The sequence below is a fragment of the Homo sapiens genome, chromosome 5, assembly GCF_000001405.40.
Source record: "Homo sapiens chromosome 5, GRCh38.p14 Primary Assembly".
NCBI classification, from domain to species: domain Eukaryota; kingdom Metazoa; phylum Chordata; class Mammalia; order Primates; family Hominidae; genus Homo; species Homo sapiens.
In genome coordinates, this window is record NC_000005.10 from 165,701,764 (window position 1) to 165,722,044 (window position 20,281).

Sequence of the window (20,281 nt, forward strand, 5' to 3'; positions counted from 1 at the left end):
CCCAGTAGGGTTCTAAAATAAAGCTTTGACATGGCCCCAAACTCAGAATCTTTGAGAAAGAAACTGCTATTTTCGTATTTTCAGAAATTTGGCCTAATGCAAGAGATCTATATATCTCTACATTTATATCTATATTAATTCTATAAATAAGCTCATGGACTATCCCAAGTAATAGAGACTTCAGTTTTGTTAATTTAGTGGCTCGTTCTCTGATAATCTTGACCTTGATGCCTCTATAATTTTTGAACCTGTAATTAGACATGCTAAGTATGCAAAGCTATTTACTGATTTCCAGTTATGCTGTTTCAGGTTACAAATGTGAAAAAAAATTAACTGCTTCCATAGCAAGATGACCCAAAGGGCCACTTTAGGACAATGGGAGCTACTGTGCATAAGAAATAGGGCTGATGGCAACATGTATATCTTTTTAATTTGAGGATTATGTTGGAAATGAAACATAGTCTCCAAGGTGAACAAGTGCTTTTGCTAGAGTACTTAACCCTAACTATGAAACTAGCATAAATTACCTGATTGTTATTAACTGGTGTTTAACTTCTCTGCACTTTTAACACTTATTATATTGGAAAGTATGTTCTTAAAAAAAAAACGTATTCATAGGTGATTAGGATGCCCTTTTCTTTTATATTTAATGTTTTAAAATCATGTACTTTGAGTACCCACCAACATATCAATTATTTAGTCATTACAAACGTGGGTGAGAAGTCATTACGGTGATAATGAGGACACAGTCCAAGTGTAAAAGGAAGTTCCCTAAATTGCAGCAATGAGCTATGAAAATGATATTAAATTGTTCATTTCAAAAAAAGATTTTCATAGCGATTCCCTAAACTGGATGGCAACACGGAATATGCAACAGTAGCAAATACTTACACTCACAGAGAGCTATGGCATTTGGGAAATCATTCTGTTGTATCAATAGGAAGTTATTCTCTGAACTCTCCTCCAGTTTTTGAATATTTAATGACTGAATGCTATTTAATTGGAAAAAGTTCTTCATAAGAAGGTAGTGTGACCCAAATTTTTGAAAGAAGAAAATGTTTTACTCCTTCAGGAAGTCATTTCTAGATAGAATTCTTAAGAGCATAGCATAAAGAAGGTGGGATACCCCCTAAATCTCTGGATTTGCTTAGGCACTATCACAAATATAATGAAACAAGCCCTCTGTCCAGGAAAAATAAATAAATAAATAAAATAAAAACTATTTAAAAACCTAAAATTGCTGTGAACATTTCCAAGTCTCACTAAGATTTTTTTCTGGAAAAAATAAAACAATCATAACCTAATACCTGGGTAAATCGATATGACAGTATTTTATTGTTTACATAAACAATGGAACATTTTCAGTGTGGTCATTCCTCTGGGCCACTGAGAAAAGAGGCAATGACATTAGCAGGCAACCAAATAACATCCTTCAAACAATACTTTTTTCAATTTTTTTTTTTTTAACTAAAAATTATTTCCAGAATTGTTAGCAGATCATTTGAGCAGACAGTGGTAGAGTGAGGGGGGAAGAAGCAGCCATGGAATTTGGTCATGAGAAAAAAGGGATCCCAGCCAGGCACAGTAGTACCTACCTCTAGTCCCACCTACTTGGAGGCTGAGGAGGAAAGATTGCTTGAGCCCAGGAGTTTGAGTCCAGCACCAGGCTAATTTTTTCTTTTATTTTTGTAGAGACCAAGTCTCACTCTGTTGACCAGTCTGGTCTCTAACTCATGACCTCAAGCGATCCTCCTGTCTTGACCTCCCAAAGTGCTGGGATTTCGAGTGTGAGCCATTGCACCCAGATAATATCTACTTTTAAGATACAAATCTCTTTTTTTACTTTAAAAAAGCCAGAAATTAAGATTTTAATTTGAATTTCCCAATTTGTAAGCATTGGCAATTCATCATAATTATTTAGTGTATAATGGCAAAGCCAACGCTATGCTAGCTAAATAAAATATGCATAAGCCAAATCTGGTCTATGGGCTACCAGTTGAAGTCTTCTGATTTACATTAATGTGATACATATATTCCCATAAAGAGGGTTAAATATAATTTATAAGTATTGAGTGTGTATGTGCATGTGTGTGTGTGTGTGTGTGTGTGTATGTGTGTTGGGTGGAAGGTTGAAGAGAAAGAGCTATCATCTAAATTATATAAAATCAAGGTGATTATAATAAGAATAGTTTCTAAATAATGGACTGATAAGAAGTCCATCTACAAATTACCAAGTACAGGTAAATCCCAGAAGAACAAATAGCAACAATCCATTGAGATTGAGATTTAATATGTATATTGTCTATATAGAATTGATTAAAAGATTCTATACAGCATACAACCTTCAGTAATAAGAAAAATAATTAGAAAAAGTCACTTTAATTTTGATACTACTACTTGATCACCACTATCTTTATTACTTGCTGCCTGTTATCGCACTAGGTATCTGTCATTGTTCTCAGTATTTTATATGCATTGTATAATTTAATCCTTATGATAACTCAATCAAGAATAGGCACTACTTTATCCCATTTCAGAGTTCAGGAAAATAAGTCTTAGAGAGGTTAGGTCATTCATCAACAAAGGTAACTATTTCACATTTTTTCCTTGCAAACTGGTAGCCTATGGGAGCAATATGTGTTTCAGTTAGTCATTAGAAGGTTTTTTGTTTTGTTTTGTTTATTTTTTATTTTATTCTATTTTTCGAGATGGATTTTCTTTCTTGTTGCCCAGGCTGGAGTGCAATGGTGCAATCTTGGCTCACCGCAACCTTGGCTCACAGCAACCTCTATCTCCTGGGTTCAAGCGATTCTCCTGCCTCAGCCTCCTGAGTAGCTGGGATTACAGGCACGCACCACCACACCCAGCTAATTTTGTGTTATTTTAGTAGAGACAGGGTTTCTCCACGTTGGTCAGGCTGGTCTCAAACTCCCAACCTCAGGTGATCTGCCCGCCTCAGCCTCCCGAAGTGTTAGGATTACAGGCATGAGCCACCACACCCAGCCAGTCAGAAGATTTTAAAAATTCAAGTTTTTTGGATACCATTTGAATAGTCACCTACTTCCCAGGTCTTCATTATCCACACATTTCTTGTGTTACATATAGTGGCATCACTCATCAGTGTTAAATGAGCCTCATACTCCTCTCCTTACCTCTTTCTAATCTCCAAAAATGTGCCAGAAAATTAAGTGATATGAAATGGCAAATGCATCTAGTCTGTACATGGCAACTGATATCAATAAGTTTGCTTCCCTTCTTGTGATATAATTCATCCCCTCCAAATCTCATGTTGAAATGTGATCCCTAATATTGGAGGTGGGGCCTAGTGGGAGGTTTCTGGGTCCTGGGGGCGAATTCCTCATGACTGGCTTGGTGCCCTCCCTGTGGTAATGAGTGAGTTTTCACTCTATTAGTTCACAGGAGAGCTGGTTGGTTAAAAGAGCATGGCATCTATCTTGCTCCCTCTCTTGCTGTGTGACACATTGGATCCCCTCTCTCTTCTGCCATGATTGGATGCTCCCTGAAGCCTCACCAGAAGCATATGCTGGCACCATCCTTCATGTATATCCTGCAGAACCATCAGCCAAATAAACTTCTCTTTTTTTAGTATAAATTACCCAGTCTCAGCTACTCCTTTATAGCAACACAAAAGAGACTAACATACCTTGAAATCATGATACTTTTGGACACTGTTACTCTTTGGGTAATATTGGGAACTAGCCTTCAACTCCCTTAAGCCCTTTTTCTTTTAAAACAGAGACTTGGGGATAGGCAATCCTGTACAAGTTTCTAAAGAAGGAAAATGATCTAATTACTGACTAATATAGTAAAATGCATCTAGCTAGTTGAATTTCAGTATAGTGATGTACATCTGGCTGAACTTGAATTTAAAGCTATCATAGGTTTTATACTATGATCTTTACAGCTTTATCTTTTCAAAACTAAATGGCTATGTATATATATGCTAATACAGTTTATGCATACATGCCTTATATAGGTCCTTACAGATAACCTTTTGGTGTTACAATCAACATATGCTCCTACATTTCAGACTTGAGACATCGGGGTTTTAGAAGCTCATTGTGAGTTGGCACCAGTTTGGAGAATTAGGGAGAATGTAATGGTTTCTTATCCTTAAGTTTTAAATGGCTTTGATACTGGAACTGATGAGAAATAAGTCAATCTCCAGACAGAGGGGTTAAAGTGGGAGTGTTAGTTTTCTATTGCTGTGTAACAAATCACCACTAGTTTAAAGACTTAAAAGAACACTCATTTATTATGTATTTTTGTAGGTTAGAAGTCTGGGTGTGGACTAACTGGACCTCTCTGCTCAGGGTTTCATCAGACTGCAATAAATGTGCTGATTGGGGATGCACTTTCATCTGTGGTTCAGAGTTCCCATGCAGTCTCAGTGGGTGTTGGCAGAATTGATTTCCTTCCAGGTGTATCAGTAGCAACCCCATTTGCTTACTGGTTGTTCTCCGCTACTAGAGGCAGCCTAGCCTGCTGTTCTGTGCCATGTGACCCTCTCCACAGTGCAGCACTTGGTACCTCTTAGGCCAACAAGACAGCATCCACCACAGCTTTTAATTTCTGACTCTTCTCCTCTTTGACCTCCAGGTCCTTTTTGTACAAAGACTCGCCTTATTATATCAGGGCCACACTTTCTCAAAGACAGGGAGTCATACAGGGTGTGAACATCAGAGGGCCAGGAACTTGGAGCCATCTAAAGATTCCACCCCCTACAGCAGGGGAATTAAGAATCTTGCCATAGGAGCCTCACTAATAATTGTGAGTGCTTTTTTTCAAGTTATATTTTCCAGGAATAAAATGAAATAATGTGTGTGGGTTCGATTGCGCCATGGTTCTGTGAGACTCATTCACGCGGATTTGAAAATCTAACATTGTCACTGTTGTGTAGATCTATTTATACAAACTTTTTTAAAAAAACATAAAATTTTAAAATAACATTGTATAAAATAACTTTTGCCATGTCCAGAATGTCTACTGAATACCGCTATTTTTCTCTTCTTTATTTCATATTTAAATTTGATTAGACTTGGCCTAAATAACTTCCTTGGTGGTAATATACGTTCCACATGGACTTATATCTAATACGTGAGTTATATTTTACATGACACTTTGAATAACAACTATTGATTGCTGATTACATTAATATCTATATGCTGCCATAAACAATGTTTATGGCCCTATAATTGATAACACTATTAGTGCTACCTACTTGTAAGACCTGCAATTATGTTGCTATAAAGGTAATTGATAGTTAGAGGAATAGTATCTAACCTGCATCTTAAATCCATAAAGCAATGTTTTTTTTCGCCAAAAGTGGTGATTAAAATAATTATTTAAAATATTTTGTTTAATTGGCAAGGATAGTAACTGAATTTTTTTTTCCTCTTAGGACCTGGCCAACTTATAATTTTTGTTACCTACTACCTCCATTACTTTAAAGATTATCCTAGTGTGAGTTGGTTTAAAAAAAAAGTGATACTGATGGATTTTGTTTAGCAAATCTGTGATTTGGGTGTTTTTGATTTTTTAACCTGGTAAATAGCTTATAGATCTTTAATAGGTAATGTTTTAGAATTTTTCCTTGGGTTCATTTATAACGTAAGCGGATGGACTGTCAACTTTTGATTTGATATTCAGAAGCTTATTTTTCTTTTTGGCTTGCTTTTTTTTTTTTTTAGAGTATTAAATGTTATTTCTATAGAATAACTTATCAACAAAGAATAATTGTTTTAAAAAGTGCCTCTCTCAGTGTGTAATGCCATTTTAGCCTGCATGAAAATAGTATGATTCTGAGAAAATACATGCTTGAATAAGGTAAATAAAACTTCAGAGCCTTATTTACTTCAGAGAATAACAGCCTGTCTCTTTTTGTTCGACCTAAAAATAAAAATTCTGAATTTTCTTTTCAAAAGCTATTTGAGTATTTTTCATTGCAATGTGTTTATTAAATAACTATAACATAACTATAAAAAGTGTAACATTTCCCCACCCAAAATACACCCAGACATACTTTCCTCTTCAGAATGAATATATCCTAATAGTATCCTTTTAATTTTATATTATATATTATATATATTATTATATAATATATATTATATAATAATATGTCCTAATAGTATGCCTTTTAATTTTCATCTTAATTTCAAGAAATCAAGACCAAAATAATGAGGCCTTAAAACGATGAGATGATTAAAACTTTACACATATAAACCTGTGCTACCTATGCTATTGGTAGTTTCATTGGTTAGTTATTTAGTTGACCATTTTGAGCAAATAATTCTACTTATTTGGAATATAGATTTTCCTGATCCGAAAATAAATTTATGCACATGAATTTAAAAACATACATAATTTTTAAAATTTCAAATGCTTTTCATCCCACTTCAGTTTGATAATAAATGTTATACCTGAGATAAGATTTAAAATGAATTTTTTTTTGTTTCGTTTTGGGCTTTTGTTTTTTAACAGTCCTAGGGCAATTGCAAAAAATTGGAGAGATCAGGAAAGAATTTTAGCCAATATTTAACTAGTGTAAAAATCACATTTTGTTTTGATTTCCTTTTTTAAACTCTAACTCGTCAGTTTCCAGGAAAAGCAGAAATGTACAGTAAAATGCTCACAACCAAGTCTAATCTCAGCATAAAACTTACTGTCAGCATGAATAAAATCCTTATGCTATAAAAATATATGACTATCTATTGCCAGCTCTAAGAGTTTTCACAAATTATTCACAAAACACAAGAAAGAACCTAAAGGAAAGTTGAATGTTTATTTTCTGTAATACAAAACAAATAGCTTGGTAGCAAGATTAGAGGATACAATAAATAAGAACTTAAATAAAATTAACATTTCCAGAAGGAATTGGTGAGGTTAAGTGCCTGGAACTGTCCGTTACCCCAAATTTATGTAGCAAGCGTTCATTAACTTCAAATGAGGGGCTTCATACTCTATTTAATAAGGTATCACATGGAGTCCCTTTCCATTTACAGTATGTTCCTAAAGGTGAAAACAGCAGGAAAACGAAATTACTTCATTTACCGGAATTACAGCTTCTTTTGTATAAAACTTGAATCATTTTATATATGACAACCTTATGCTTAATGTTTTTAGAATATTCTTCATAAAACATTATTTAGCAAAAGCATACTCTCCCACTGAGCGCATTGCTGCTTTCAATGGCTGTGCTAATCTAGTTTGAATATATGCAGCATTTAATCTTAATTATGATGCCGAAGTCTATACAACGTTAATTATTCATTTCACATGCTCCCTCCACTTTATTGTAACTCCTACTTTGCTTAACAAAATGTAGCTTTTAATTAGAACTGTGGAATTGTTGGGGCAAGGTGCTGTTCTGAGTGTGTGCATGCGGGTGTGTGTGCAAGCGGACACGCTTTCCATTGGTTTGGAAATGCATAAGGGGAGAAGCGTAGTATAGAAGTAACAGAAGTTAATACTTGTAATTCAAAAGATAAAATTCCTGGTAGGTGTAATTTCCTTCTGAGGTAACTGTTTCTTGGTTTCTTAGAGTTGAAAACGAAAGTAGAGATACCTGGTTGCCATTTTAATAATGGACAATCGTTGGGCTGTAGTTAGTGTGTATATCTCTTTAAATATTGGCATGGCAGGTCACACACAAAAAAGCACATGCCAAGAAAATTAGCCGATGAGGCTTTTTTTAATCCATGTCATTAAGAATATCTGACTGAAATAGTATATTAGTAATGTTTATGTATTTATTCAACTCATGACATAAATTATATAACACAAAATAGTTTGTAAAAAAATTCAAAAAGTGATATATATTTGCTTAAAGTCTAAATGCTTGATATTTTTCAATGTTTCCCTAATTTTTGTTATTTTGTGGATGTTAATATTAATTTTAATATACTTTAATAGTTTTTATTTAAAAAATAAGGTTTAAAATTTAAAATCATAAGTAAAACTTCATATTCCAGCTTTAAAAAGAAATCATTATTTTAAAATAAATTGAAAATTACTAAAGTTTTTTCATTTACAGTTTATCACCATACAGTCACCAAAGGACCCATTCTACACCTATTTAAACAGTGTACATACCAACTTAGAATTTTAGGAATGAAGCCAAATATCTCTAAAATTATGCCCTGGATAAGTTGTACATAAAGACAAGGGATTATAATGTTTTGTATACATTTACTATAAATTTTGAGAAAGGTCATTTAAAATCAACAACAAAAAAGCCCATAAGATCACGGTGATCCCTGTTGGTAATTCTGTATACTAATATATCGTGTACAAAAATGATGTTATGGTTGTGAAATAAAATTTTAAACTGACTAATTGTATCTAGATAGCTATTATCTTCCAAATAGACAGGCATATATTTCCTCAAAAAAAGCTAGATTGACTTATGGATACATAAAGATACAGAATATCCTAATCATTCTGATAGTATTCTTTCCTAATAAATATGTTTGGCAAGTGAATTAGCAAAAGGAATTAGTTTTGTCCTTAAACTGGACTTAAGTCATGAAATCAACAACTGCATACTTCAGATTTTAGTGGTCATAGCAACTCTTAGTGTAGTCTTCATCTTCTTACAGGACACTGTTTTACTCATTAAGTTCCTTTTTTAAAAAGTCAAGTGTAATTATTTAATATTTTCTGTTTCATTGCTAATGTGTATAAATAGCTACAATGTATTGAGCTGTCCTTTAATTTTACAATTACCCATATGGTAGCTACCATTATTAGTCCCACTTTACAGATGAAGAAATTAGAAATTTAGGAGGACTGAGTGACATCCAAGATCATCTAAGATTTCAACCCAGGCCTGACTCCAGAAACTGTGCTTTCAACTGTGTGTTCTCTGCCTTCATTTGGTTATAACCTCAGTTCTGTGTCCACTAACATTCAGTGCAACCAAACCCTGTCTCTAAAGGCGGGACTGTTTGATCTAGATCTCCATTCTCCTTGGACCCCTATGTTCACTTATACAGAGGTTAAATCTTCATCTTGTATCAAAAGAATAGATGGGTTAAAGTAAATGACTATGAATGATTGCGAATATTGGTACTGTTTGGTAAAAATTCTAACAATGAAAAAAATTCATCTGAGAGGACAGAAGGGGTAAATATACCCTAATTTAAGAATACTATATGTATTCACATATTAAGATTTTGTTTCTGACCAGCAAACACTTTACTCCTGTTACTTTCTGCTCCACTAAATAAGATATGAGACTGTATGATATTTATGTGGTTAGGAGCACAGAATCTGCAGACAAGCTGTGTGTGTTTAAACTTCATCTCTGCTGCTTACTAGCCTAGAAAGTTCCAGGAGTTGACACAGCCTCTTTTGTGCCTCACTTTCTTCATCTGTAAAATGTGTGTAATATTTCTTACCCCATAGAATGGCTTGAGGATAAAATGTTCTACTAGATGCCAAGTGTTATAAACAGTCACTGAAACATTGTCCTTTGTGTATAAGTGTTTGCTTTTACTCACAGAATCTAAGAAGCCGATTTTAAGGAATGTCTAGATTTTAGGAGACATTAAAATGTTAAAAGAATTTCTTAGATTTTATGAAATACACTGTTTTTAAGTTATAAACTGCTAAGACTAGTCCGCATACAATATCTCTTCTCTGCCTTAAGACTTAGAACTCTAAGTCCATATGTCTTGTTTGTAAAAAAGTCTACTTTTATTTATTATGTCTGTTTTAAATATCTTAACAATATTCATCAAATTGTTCAGGTAGAACTTCTGCTTTCAAGAAACATAAACACAAAGAAATTGCTAATGGTATTGAGGGGCAGTAGCTGAGCCAGTTTTTATATATACCCAAATCCTCTGGATAAATACAAAGCATCCACTTATGTTTTTTTCTTCATAAATCACATAAGCCTAGCATCACATAAAATTTAAGATTCCTGGAAACAAAGCACAAAAGATAATAACTTCTCTTATTTTTATTTCCATTTTTATTTCCATCCTCCATGTGCTACTCACCTGATAACCTTGTCTTAAGAAAAAAGGAGGGGGATTCTTTCAAATTATGCTTTTAATCTCACCGTAAGTATTTCCCATTGTATTCACTCATAAGCTTTTCTATCTCCTTAATAACTATTTAGTTTTGCTTCTAATTCTTTCACTCTGCCCAGTCCCAGAGACTATCTAACTAATCTTGAGATGTGCACTTAGTGCGGAGTACTGTAAGCCAATTTTCTTTTATTGAACTTTTACACCCTGGGGAATTCCCAAAGATTGTGAAGCTCTATGGAGCTTTTCTGAAACATAAGCCTGCCTACCCCTTCTGTCCCTCTCTTTGAAATGAAAAGCTCTACCTTTGTGGTCTGAATTTAGTTCTATTCACCATCTCACCATCACACTAAGCTGCCTCTGAAGTTTGCCCCCCATGTAGTTCTAAGTTCTAAAGTCACGTGGTCACTGTCTTTTCTGAGCTGCTTTTCCTGCCTCCTCTTTGGTGTCTCTCCGCTTTGCCATCCTGTTTAGGCATCACCCAGGATACCATGTTCTCTCTGATGTTTTCTCAGTTGACTTCCAAGTCTGGGAGGGCCTTGTAACATGTTTCTTCTTCTTCTCTGTTTTGTTGCCGATTGGTTGCCAGTTGGTTGCCACTTTGTTGTTGTTGGTAGAGAGATGTGCGACTGTTTGAAATAGAATGCTTTGCTGTGTTGCAGCGTGTCAGAAAAACCCAGGAAAATTACGTCTGAAAAGTTTTCAGTGTTTGTTATCCCATGTCATCCTCCTCATCTCTGTATGTAATCGTAATTACTCCCCATTTTTACCAGTGCAGAGAAGTAATTTACTCATCGTCACATGTTATTTGACAGAGCTGGGGTTTAAACATCATTCCCTGAAATTTCAATGCCTGATTTTCTTTTCTATGATGTAGTATGATGTAATCTTGCTTCTTGAATATTCTCCTACTTCATTTGTCCCTCACTTAATACAGCAGTTGCTGATGAGGGCTTGGTTCTTGTGTCACAGTGTGTATTGTGGTATTTATAAGTATTTGGTTACGGAACTCAAAAAATAACTATACAGGAGTTAATGAGCGCATATAAGAATTATACTAACTTTGTTTGTTTGTTTTAAGATATGGGGTCTTGCTCTGTTACCCAGGCTGGAGTTCAGTGGTGCAATCATAGCTCACTATAGCCTCAAACTCTCCTGGGTTTAAAAGATCCTCCCTCTTCAGCCTTCCAAGTAGCTAGGATTACAGACACACATCGCCATGCCCAGTTAATTTCTTTATTTTAATTTTTGTAGAGACAGGATCTCACTATGTTTTCCAGGCAGGTTTCAAACTCCTGGCCTCAAGCAATCTTCCCAATCTCTCCCAATCTCCCAATCTCTCAAAATGCTTGAATTATAGGCATGAGCCACCATGCCTATGGAGCTGACCAACATGGTGAAAACCAAAATTATAACAACTATTATAACAACCTAATTCTGGAGGTTTTCTGAGAGCAGAATTTCCATTTTACTATTCAGTGGGAGTTCTTGCTTGGAGATGTTTTCCAAAGCCAGTCCTAACATATTGAGCTTCCATTTGAATGGCTGCCAGAGACCTACTGAAGAGAGGAAGCACATCTCACAGTGCCTGGAGCTCCAGGAGGTGCTCAGGCTCTGCCACCCAGGTGGGGCTGTCACCAGCTGACACCCAGTGCAGAGATGATATGAACGCCCATGAGTCAATTCCCTCTTGTCTCAACAAAGCCATGGTGGGCAGCTCTCTGCTGTGCTCAGTGACTCCACACATACAGGCACCTCTCCCATGCCCATAGGTTTGCTGTAAGCTTTCAGTTAACATTTGTGCAGTCATAATATTCTGGGTTTTTTTTAAATAAGTTAAAAATCTCATTTTTAATCATCTCCCACCTGTACCTGTTTGGTTTACCCCAAAACTCCTTTAGGGAAGTTTTAGTTATTTTTTTAAAATATCTCACCCCTAGGTGCCTGGCCTACTGTTGCTCACACACTAGAAATTCCTTAATTGTTCGTGGTTAACCTACTGCCTAACTAGGTACTCTGTGACTTTTTATTGTTAACTAACTACAATTAACTGACTAATTAGAACACAATTTGTGATACTAACTCCTCTCATGATTATAGTAAAAACAATATTATCTTAATTAGCTTTTACCAAAAAGACTCTGGCATTGTTTTCTAATAATAAGTTTTTCCCTACACTCCGGTTAAAAGAAATACAGAAGTTAAATATGTAAAACCACATTAAAATATGTTGGAGCTAGTAAAAATAAAATAGCTTGTTTATTAGCCCTCTCTCTCTCCCCTTTCCCTCTTCTCCTTCCTCTCTCCCTTACCTCGTTATAAAAATGTTTTACTGGCTGGGCGCAGTGGCTCACGCCTGTAATCCCAGCACTTTGAGAGGCTGAGGTGGGCAGATCACAAAGTCAAGAGATTGAGACCATCCTGGCCGACATGATGAAACCTCGTCTCTACCAAAAATACAAAAATTAGCCATGTGTCGGGGTGCATGACCGTAGTCCCAGCTACTCGGGAGGCTGAGGCAGGAGAATCGCTTGAACCCGGGAGGTGGAGGTTGCAGTGAGCCGAGATTGCGCCTCTGCACTCCAGCCTGGGTGACAGAGTGAGACTCTATCTTAAAAAAAAAAAAAAAAAAGTTTTTCTCTAATAGTAGATAGTTTCAAATATATTCAGGAAATATAATCTTTGGGAATCTGTTGCTTTGTTAAGAAAAATGAATGGAACTTCTCTTACTCCAACAGAAAAGTAGAAGAAAATATGCACAGACCTGATTCAAATGCTGGTGTTTTTTTGTTTGTTTGTTTGTTTTGAGGTGCGTTATTTCTTTTTTGTTGTTGTTTAAGCAAAGTGTTAATTAGAAGACACTCCAGGACTCACAGTCCTCCAGTGTTACTGGGTCCAGGAGCACTGGAGCCAGCAGTGGCTTTCTTGGTGCTGACACATCATGCTACTTTACATGGGGTGGGGGTGGAGAGCTGAGGTTTCAAGTCAGATTTAGAGACTTATGCATTGCACTGTCTAAAAATAGAAACACTGTATAAGTGATAGGCTCATTAAGTTTGGAGGACAGATGCTAGCAAGCCCAAGGAAGGACATTGTGACTAACTAGAATGAAAAGAGTTTCAAGAAACAACAAAGTTGAAAAGCATTTTCTGATTTTTTTAATGTGTCATAGAAGGAAAATATATGATGGGAACAATAATTTTTACATATTTTGCTAACATATCAAACACAATTTTACATATTTTTATCATAATTATTCAAGTATTTTATACATATGAAGATGTTGGAAAAGGGCACATAGTGGAAACAGATGGATGTCTTAATGCTCTTTGGGATACAAGTCACAGAAACCTACTGGCACTTGTTTACACAAAAGTAAGGAATTTGCTATTAAATACAAGGCTAGCTCATGGAATTGGAGGGGAAGAAAGACACTTCCACCTTAGTAGAAACAGAAGGAGACTTAGAAAGCGATCCAGTTCCATGACCTCGGACTCCTTTAAGTTGCATAGTCTTACATCTTTGTTTCATCTATTCTCTGTTCTTTGCACTGCACTTGAGTGGCAAAACTCTACCCCATGGTTTCAAGTAACCTACCTTTAGTTCACAGGCACAGCAAAACTTGATCTGCCTCTCTATGTCCAATTCCAGCTCATGAAGAGGAAATGTGATTTTTCTCTCCTGGGGCAAGTATTCAGCCCTAGTCCAGTTGAGGATCTTCAGGGAGCAGGGCCATGGAGTAAACAATAGGGTTGCTGGAGTCTACCTTATATATGGCGGTATAATTGTTACGGAGAAAGGAGGCTTTGTCTGGGAGTGCACTCCAAAGATATCTACTACAAAAGAGACTAATTGGTACATGAGACAATGGTGAGAAGGAAAACATGAGTGAGCTTTCATTTTTGAAATAGTCATAGAATTAAGACAGGCAGGGAAGTCTGCTGGATACTATTGTTTAAAAAGTGAACATTTAAAATGGCTTCTGTTTAAAATTTGATTTAAAGGCCCTGTCAAACCCTTTGAGATGACTTATAAATATCTAATAACGTTGTTCTTTCCCTCAACTGTATAAATGACAAGAAACCTGTGGTATGGACATTTCTAAGAAGTATAATTACCATTATCACTATGAGATGTGTTCTAAGGTTAATGATCGCTACTTGGGATTTACTATCCCTGACTATAGCATTGAACTATCATTTTTCTTCCCACTAATTTATAGAAAGTTGCTTAAAGTTTGAAACCAAAATGTCTAATTAAAAAAATGATTAGTCAGCTCAGATAAAATGTACACTACATAATGATAAAAATGGCTAACAATGTAAGTACTATTCTTATTTATAAGAAATATTTACATTTCTTTTTTTTTATAAAATGAAAACTGAAGAAAAATAAGGAAACACTCTCAGAGTGGTTTGGGAGGATAATTGAATTCTTCAAAATGTAAAATTTGAAGTTATCCCTTTAAAGTTCCTTGGTCGTCATTTTCCCAGTGAACTTATTCAATATTATTAATGATGACAGCTAGTTGAATTCTATCTCCTGAATGTTATTGACTCATGTTGTCTCATATTTTCTCACTTTAAAAGACTTGAATTGAGATATACATATATTATTGATTTCTACAGTGAATTTTTAAATACACTATTTAGAAGTCCCAGAGAAATTTTTTCCCAATGAATTAGAATTCAACTTGCAAAAGAGAAAATGAGTGATTAAAAATAGCCCATACATTTCTTCTCATAGTTTATAGTAGACTCATTTTAATTTTCAAATGGTATAAATACTTCAGTCTACCCTTTTGTACAAATGAATGATAGGAACTATGACAAATTAGCAATTGTTGTGCCAATGACTTTGAAACCTATGAGTAGAAGATATTCAATAGTTATCAATTTCTGGTTATCACATTTTTGTTTTAAATCTAATTTTAGGCTGCCACAATTGTTTATTTAAAAATTCTATACTTTAGAAGAGCACATTTTCAAGAGTTACAAGAATGTTTTTCTTTAAAATACTCTCGTAAGTGCTGGATTAAATATAATATTTCAAGTTGGTCAAATATTTCCCAAACTTTTAAATTGTCAGAGTTGTAAAAGGTAATGTTGTTTAGGCTTATCTAATGGTTATCTTAATTAAAGGAGAAGGAAAATCTTAAATTAATGTCATGATCAGGCCACATGGTTATAAGTTAAATAATTCATTTTTTTCTGCAAATATGAGGTCTCTGTGTCCACAAAATCTGTCTCAGATTGGCTCTTTTCTTGACAATAGAGAACTGAGCAATGATACTGATTAGCAGATAAAAGATAGTTCCTGAAGTTTTAAAATTGTATTTGAAAGTTTTTCAAAAATAGTTTATTTCTACTCTTCTTGAATGCATCATTAGCTACTCAGAACTTAACTAGTGTTTGCCCCACAGAATATTCTCTTGAAATAAATTTAAACTAGCATGAATGCTCTTCGTATATGATAAGGGCTCAAGAAATGAAAAAATTAATTGCTGTTACACTTCATATGATATTGTGACTGGATTGGTTCTATCACAATTGTTTGGGAAAATTACTATAACCTTCCTTATTCTCAGTAAAAATAGTTGTTTTTCTAGATGTATTAACGCTGAGGCAAAAATTACCTTTAAAAAACCTAGCACTGTCAATGATAGAAATAGATAAGTATATATTGATGTTTATGAAGAAATTATTTAGTAACTGGCATACGGTTTGGGGAATAAAAATAAAAGACGAGTAATAGAAATTTATCTGAAGAACTAATCTCTTCTGCAATGCTTTATTTTGCAAAATGGCTTCCAAAATTATTATGTCAAAGAAGATTATCACATTTTGTGTAATTCATCAGAAATTGACCTATTAAACAACTCTAATTGTGCTTCTCAATTATATTAATGCAAAGCTAAGTTAGATATACTAGAATATATTGTGATTTTAAACATATCTAAGCAAAAAGCTAGGGGAAGAAAAATGTGCTGTGCATAATTATTCAACACACACAAAAAAGGCTGGATTCCATTGACTTAGTACCTTTGCCAGGTTTTCTGGGTACAAAGTCAAAAATTCTCAGCTTTATAATTTATAAATAAAAAATGTTTGATATAAGGTAGACAAAACATTCAGGTGTATGATCACATTTTTCACTTTTCTTTCAGTAGCATTTTGTAGACAAAAATCTCTAAATTTGGAGAGTGGAACATTTTTATTAGAGCTGATATTTCTTATGCATTGTATTACCAAACTTAATCATCCTGCCATTTACAAAGTTAGAAGTACTCTAATATTATCTATAGTGATCTAAAAGAAAAACATGCACCCTCAAATTTTGTACTATGCCTACTTTTTGTCTTAGTATAATAGATTGTAATATTTTCAAATATTCCTTCTGTTGAATGGCTCATTCATATTCGAACTGCCTGCTTATGAAAGGGAAGTTAGGAACACAAGTACCTGCGTAGAAAATGGGCAACATATTGGATTTGGCACCAGCATATAATAGGCCCCTTTTCTGTATCAGTGGCAGAACTATTGACTCAACATAGAAGATCAGACAGAATACGTAAGTGTTTGTTTCTCTTGTCAAAGGGATATATATTAAATGTTACATTTTAAACTTTATGTCCAACTCTAATACCCTCCACAGAAAAATTACTGGAGTAATTTCTATGCTGTCCACTCATTCTTTCATTCATTGGTCACGTATTACTTAAAATGTGGTTATATAGTACCTACCACAGATAATAGCGTCAATTTGGTAGCTAGACTGTATTGAGTTTGGATCTCAGCTTCACTTCTTGCTGTGGGATCTCTCTTCCTTCATTTCCTCATCTGCAAAGCTGAGGATATAATAGTGCCTATCTGTATTAGTTTGTTCTCACACGGCTATAAAGATATTATCCGAGACTGGGTAATTTATAACAAAGAGAGGTTTAATTGACTGACAGTTCTGCATGGCTGGGGAGGACTCAGGAAACTTAAAATCATGGTAGAAGGCAAAAGGGAAGCAAAGATCTTTTTCACATGGAGGCAAGAAAGAGAGCCTGCCAGAGTAGGGAAAATTGCCTTACATACATATCCGATCTTGTGAGAACTCACTCATTATCACGAGAACAGCATGGAGGAAACCGCCCTTGTAATCCAATCACTTCCCCCCAGGTCGCTCCCTAAACACCTGGGGATTACAATTCAAGATGAGATTTGGGTGGGGACACAAAGCTTAACCATATCACTATGTTATAGGGTTGTGGTGAGCATTCAATGTGTATAGCCCTTCAGACTGTGCCTGGTTAATAATAAGTGCTATGTAAGTGTGTTATTGTTATTTTTGTTACTCTGACTACAGATCTTTAGGTGTTAATTGGGTCAATGTTTTAGGCAAAAAAAAAAAAAAAAAAATCTCTTTATGAAAGATGTTATAATGGAAATAACTAGGGTAGTGAGCAGAATGCCAGCGTGATCACCATGGGTAGCATCTCAAAGCAAGGCCTTTTTATAGAAAAAAACAGAAAGATGACACTGATAGAATCATTGAGAATAAAAGGACATTGTCATTTATGAGATAGGCCAAGACGAAACTTCTAGAAAGAGGGACTAGAAGTAACAGTCCTACATATGGGGAAACAACAAGTTTCAAGGATGTAAGGAAGGGCAGACAGTGTAACTGAAAACAAGTGCATGGTGATGAGAGCTGGTTAGAGAAGGAGGAAAACCAGGTCAGTCCCGTTGTGCAAGCCTTTGTAAGGATTTGAATTTTATTCTACTCAGTGGTTGTGTTCCATGGAAAACAGATTCTGAGATTTGAGTTTTGCAGGCAGGAAGTTTGTTGCTGAGCTCTGTAAAGAACAACACTTAAGTCAGAGTAAGGAAAATACCACTGGTGGATAAAAGGAGCTGAACTGTGATGTGGTCACCACAAATGTCTTGCTCAGCTGTTCCCAAGGGGGGCTGTGGTGCTGGGATGGCTCTGTAAGTTATCTTGCATTTAGGCAACGGGGCTGGCCATTTATACCCCTACATCAACCAGTCATTGCATCCTAGCTGTCCCTGAGAAGGGGGCATAACCTTGGGGGTAGGGTATCTTCTGCCCTGTGTAATTCCTGGAGAGAGATACTAAGAGCTTTTTATTACCTACAGACTGTAGGATGAGCTCTTCCCTCCTGAAGGGTGACCTGGGAAGAGTAGCACAGTGTCCACTACAAATGGAAGCCATTCCAGGATTTAACAGAGAAGTCAACTCCTAATTTATTCCAGAAATAATCTTTGAACACCTACTTTGAGACAGATTTTATACTAGAGCCTGAAAATACAATGTGTAAGGAAGGTGTGAAGCCAACCGTCTGGTGAAGAATTTGGTCAGACAAATGGACAAGACAGCACTGTGCAATGAATGCTATAAGAAATGTAGCTTAAGGCCAGGCACAGTGGCTCCTGCCTGTAATCCCTATAATTTGGGCAGCCGAGGGGGGAGGATCACCTGAGGTCAGGAATTTGAGACCAGCCTGGCCAACATGGTGAAACCCTGTCTACTGAAAATACAAAAAATTAGCCAGGTGTGGTGGCGTACGCCTGCAATCCCAGCTACTCAGGAAGCTGAGGCAGGAGAATCGCTTGAATCTGGGAGGCAGAGGTTGCAATCAGCCAAGACCATGCCATTGCAATCCAGCCAGAGTGACAAGAGTAAAACTCCATCTCAAAAAACAAAAAACAAAACAAAACAAAACAAAAAAGAAATGTAGTTTAAGATGCTATGGGAACAAGGAGAAGCATTTAACTCAGCATAGAGGGAAAAAAGGAGTTGGAGATGTTGGAAAACCTCTGGGAAAGCTTGTGGTATTTGAAACAGAACCTAAAGGATGACTGGGGATTATTCTCATAAACGGTAGGGGTATGTTCCGGGAAAAACGCTAGCACTCACAGAATACCAGCCGTGAGACAAATATGAATGTAGTTCCTTATGGGTGGAGCAAGGAGTATGATCCCTTAACGATTCAGGAAACCCTACGTAACCTCTCAGGAAAGAGGAGGAAGATCATAGAATGTGACAGCTGCAAGTGACCTTAGACATCTTCGGGTTCAAGCTCTTCATTACATAGATGTAAAAAGGGAAGCAAATATGCTCAAGAAATTGTTCAAGGTTTAACACTAATGAACGGCATATGAGAGATGTGACTCCAGGCCTGACATGTAATCTGAGAATCTACAAGCTTTTACCCGAACTCACTTAGCATCATAAGACATGCGGATGCAGCTGCAACACTTACCATAATGGGATGCACACAGCAAGGGTTTAATAAATACTTGATTAGGGATATAGATCAGTTGATATAGCCCAAGGGCTTTTTATTAATGAGTAGGGTGGAGTCAGAGATGACATTAGATTTACAATCTCAATATAATAAGGATGACTAAGCCACATATTTCTTGGGTGTGAGAGAATACTAATTATACAACTGTGTTCTCTATAGTATATTTTCTCTGGTTTAGAAGTCTGTAGGAATTGTTTTTTTCCCTGAAGTCATCTAGTAAGAGAATTACAATTCGTTACAATAGTACAATTATTTACCTGTTGTTAACTTCTTCAATACAACATCTGGATGAATTATCACCAAGTATCTAAACTGTGTTTGAGAGCATTTGATTCTAAATGAGGGCTGTGTGTCATAATGAAAATTAACTTTTCGGAGATCCAAAAGGTAGAGTGGCCTCCTCCGGAGTAGATAAATAGGTGCAGCTAGAGGCTCCTAAGGCTTCCCCAAGTGACACAAGCCATAGTTACTAAGGTGCCAAGGACAACAAAAGAGGCTATCAAATATGGACACCAAACTGACAGTCTCGAGGGCAGATGTTCTGAATTGCAGGTGTGGGTTCCTATGGTGCTACTTCTCTCAGACTCAGCTTGAGTGAGTGGCTAAGGAGATTTATTTACTTAAGGCTGGATAACAACCTCCTAAGCAGCCACGATGACAGTAGCAACAGCAGCCACTATTTATTGGAACCTATTCAACGTCAGGTACTCCAGTAGTTACGGTTCATTGTTTTTTGCCCTCACAACAGTTTTCTGAGATGGGTTTTATCCATCCTATGTTACAGATGAAGAAATAGAGGGGCAGTGTGCTTAAACAACCTTCTCAAGGCTACACGGTGATTAAAAGGCATAAAACCCAGTCCATTTGACTCCAAAACTTATAATCCAAAGCGTCACAAGTGTGTGTGGGT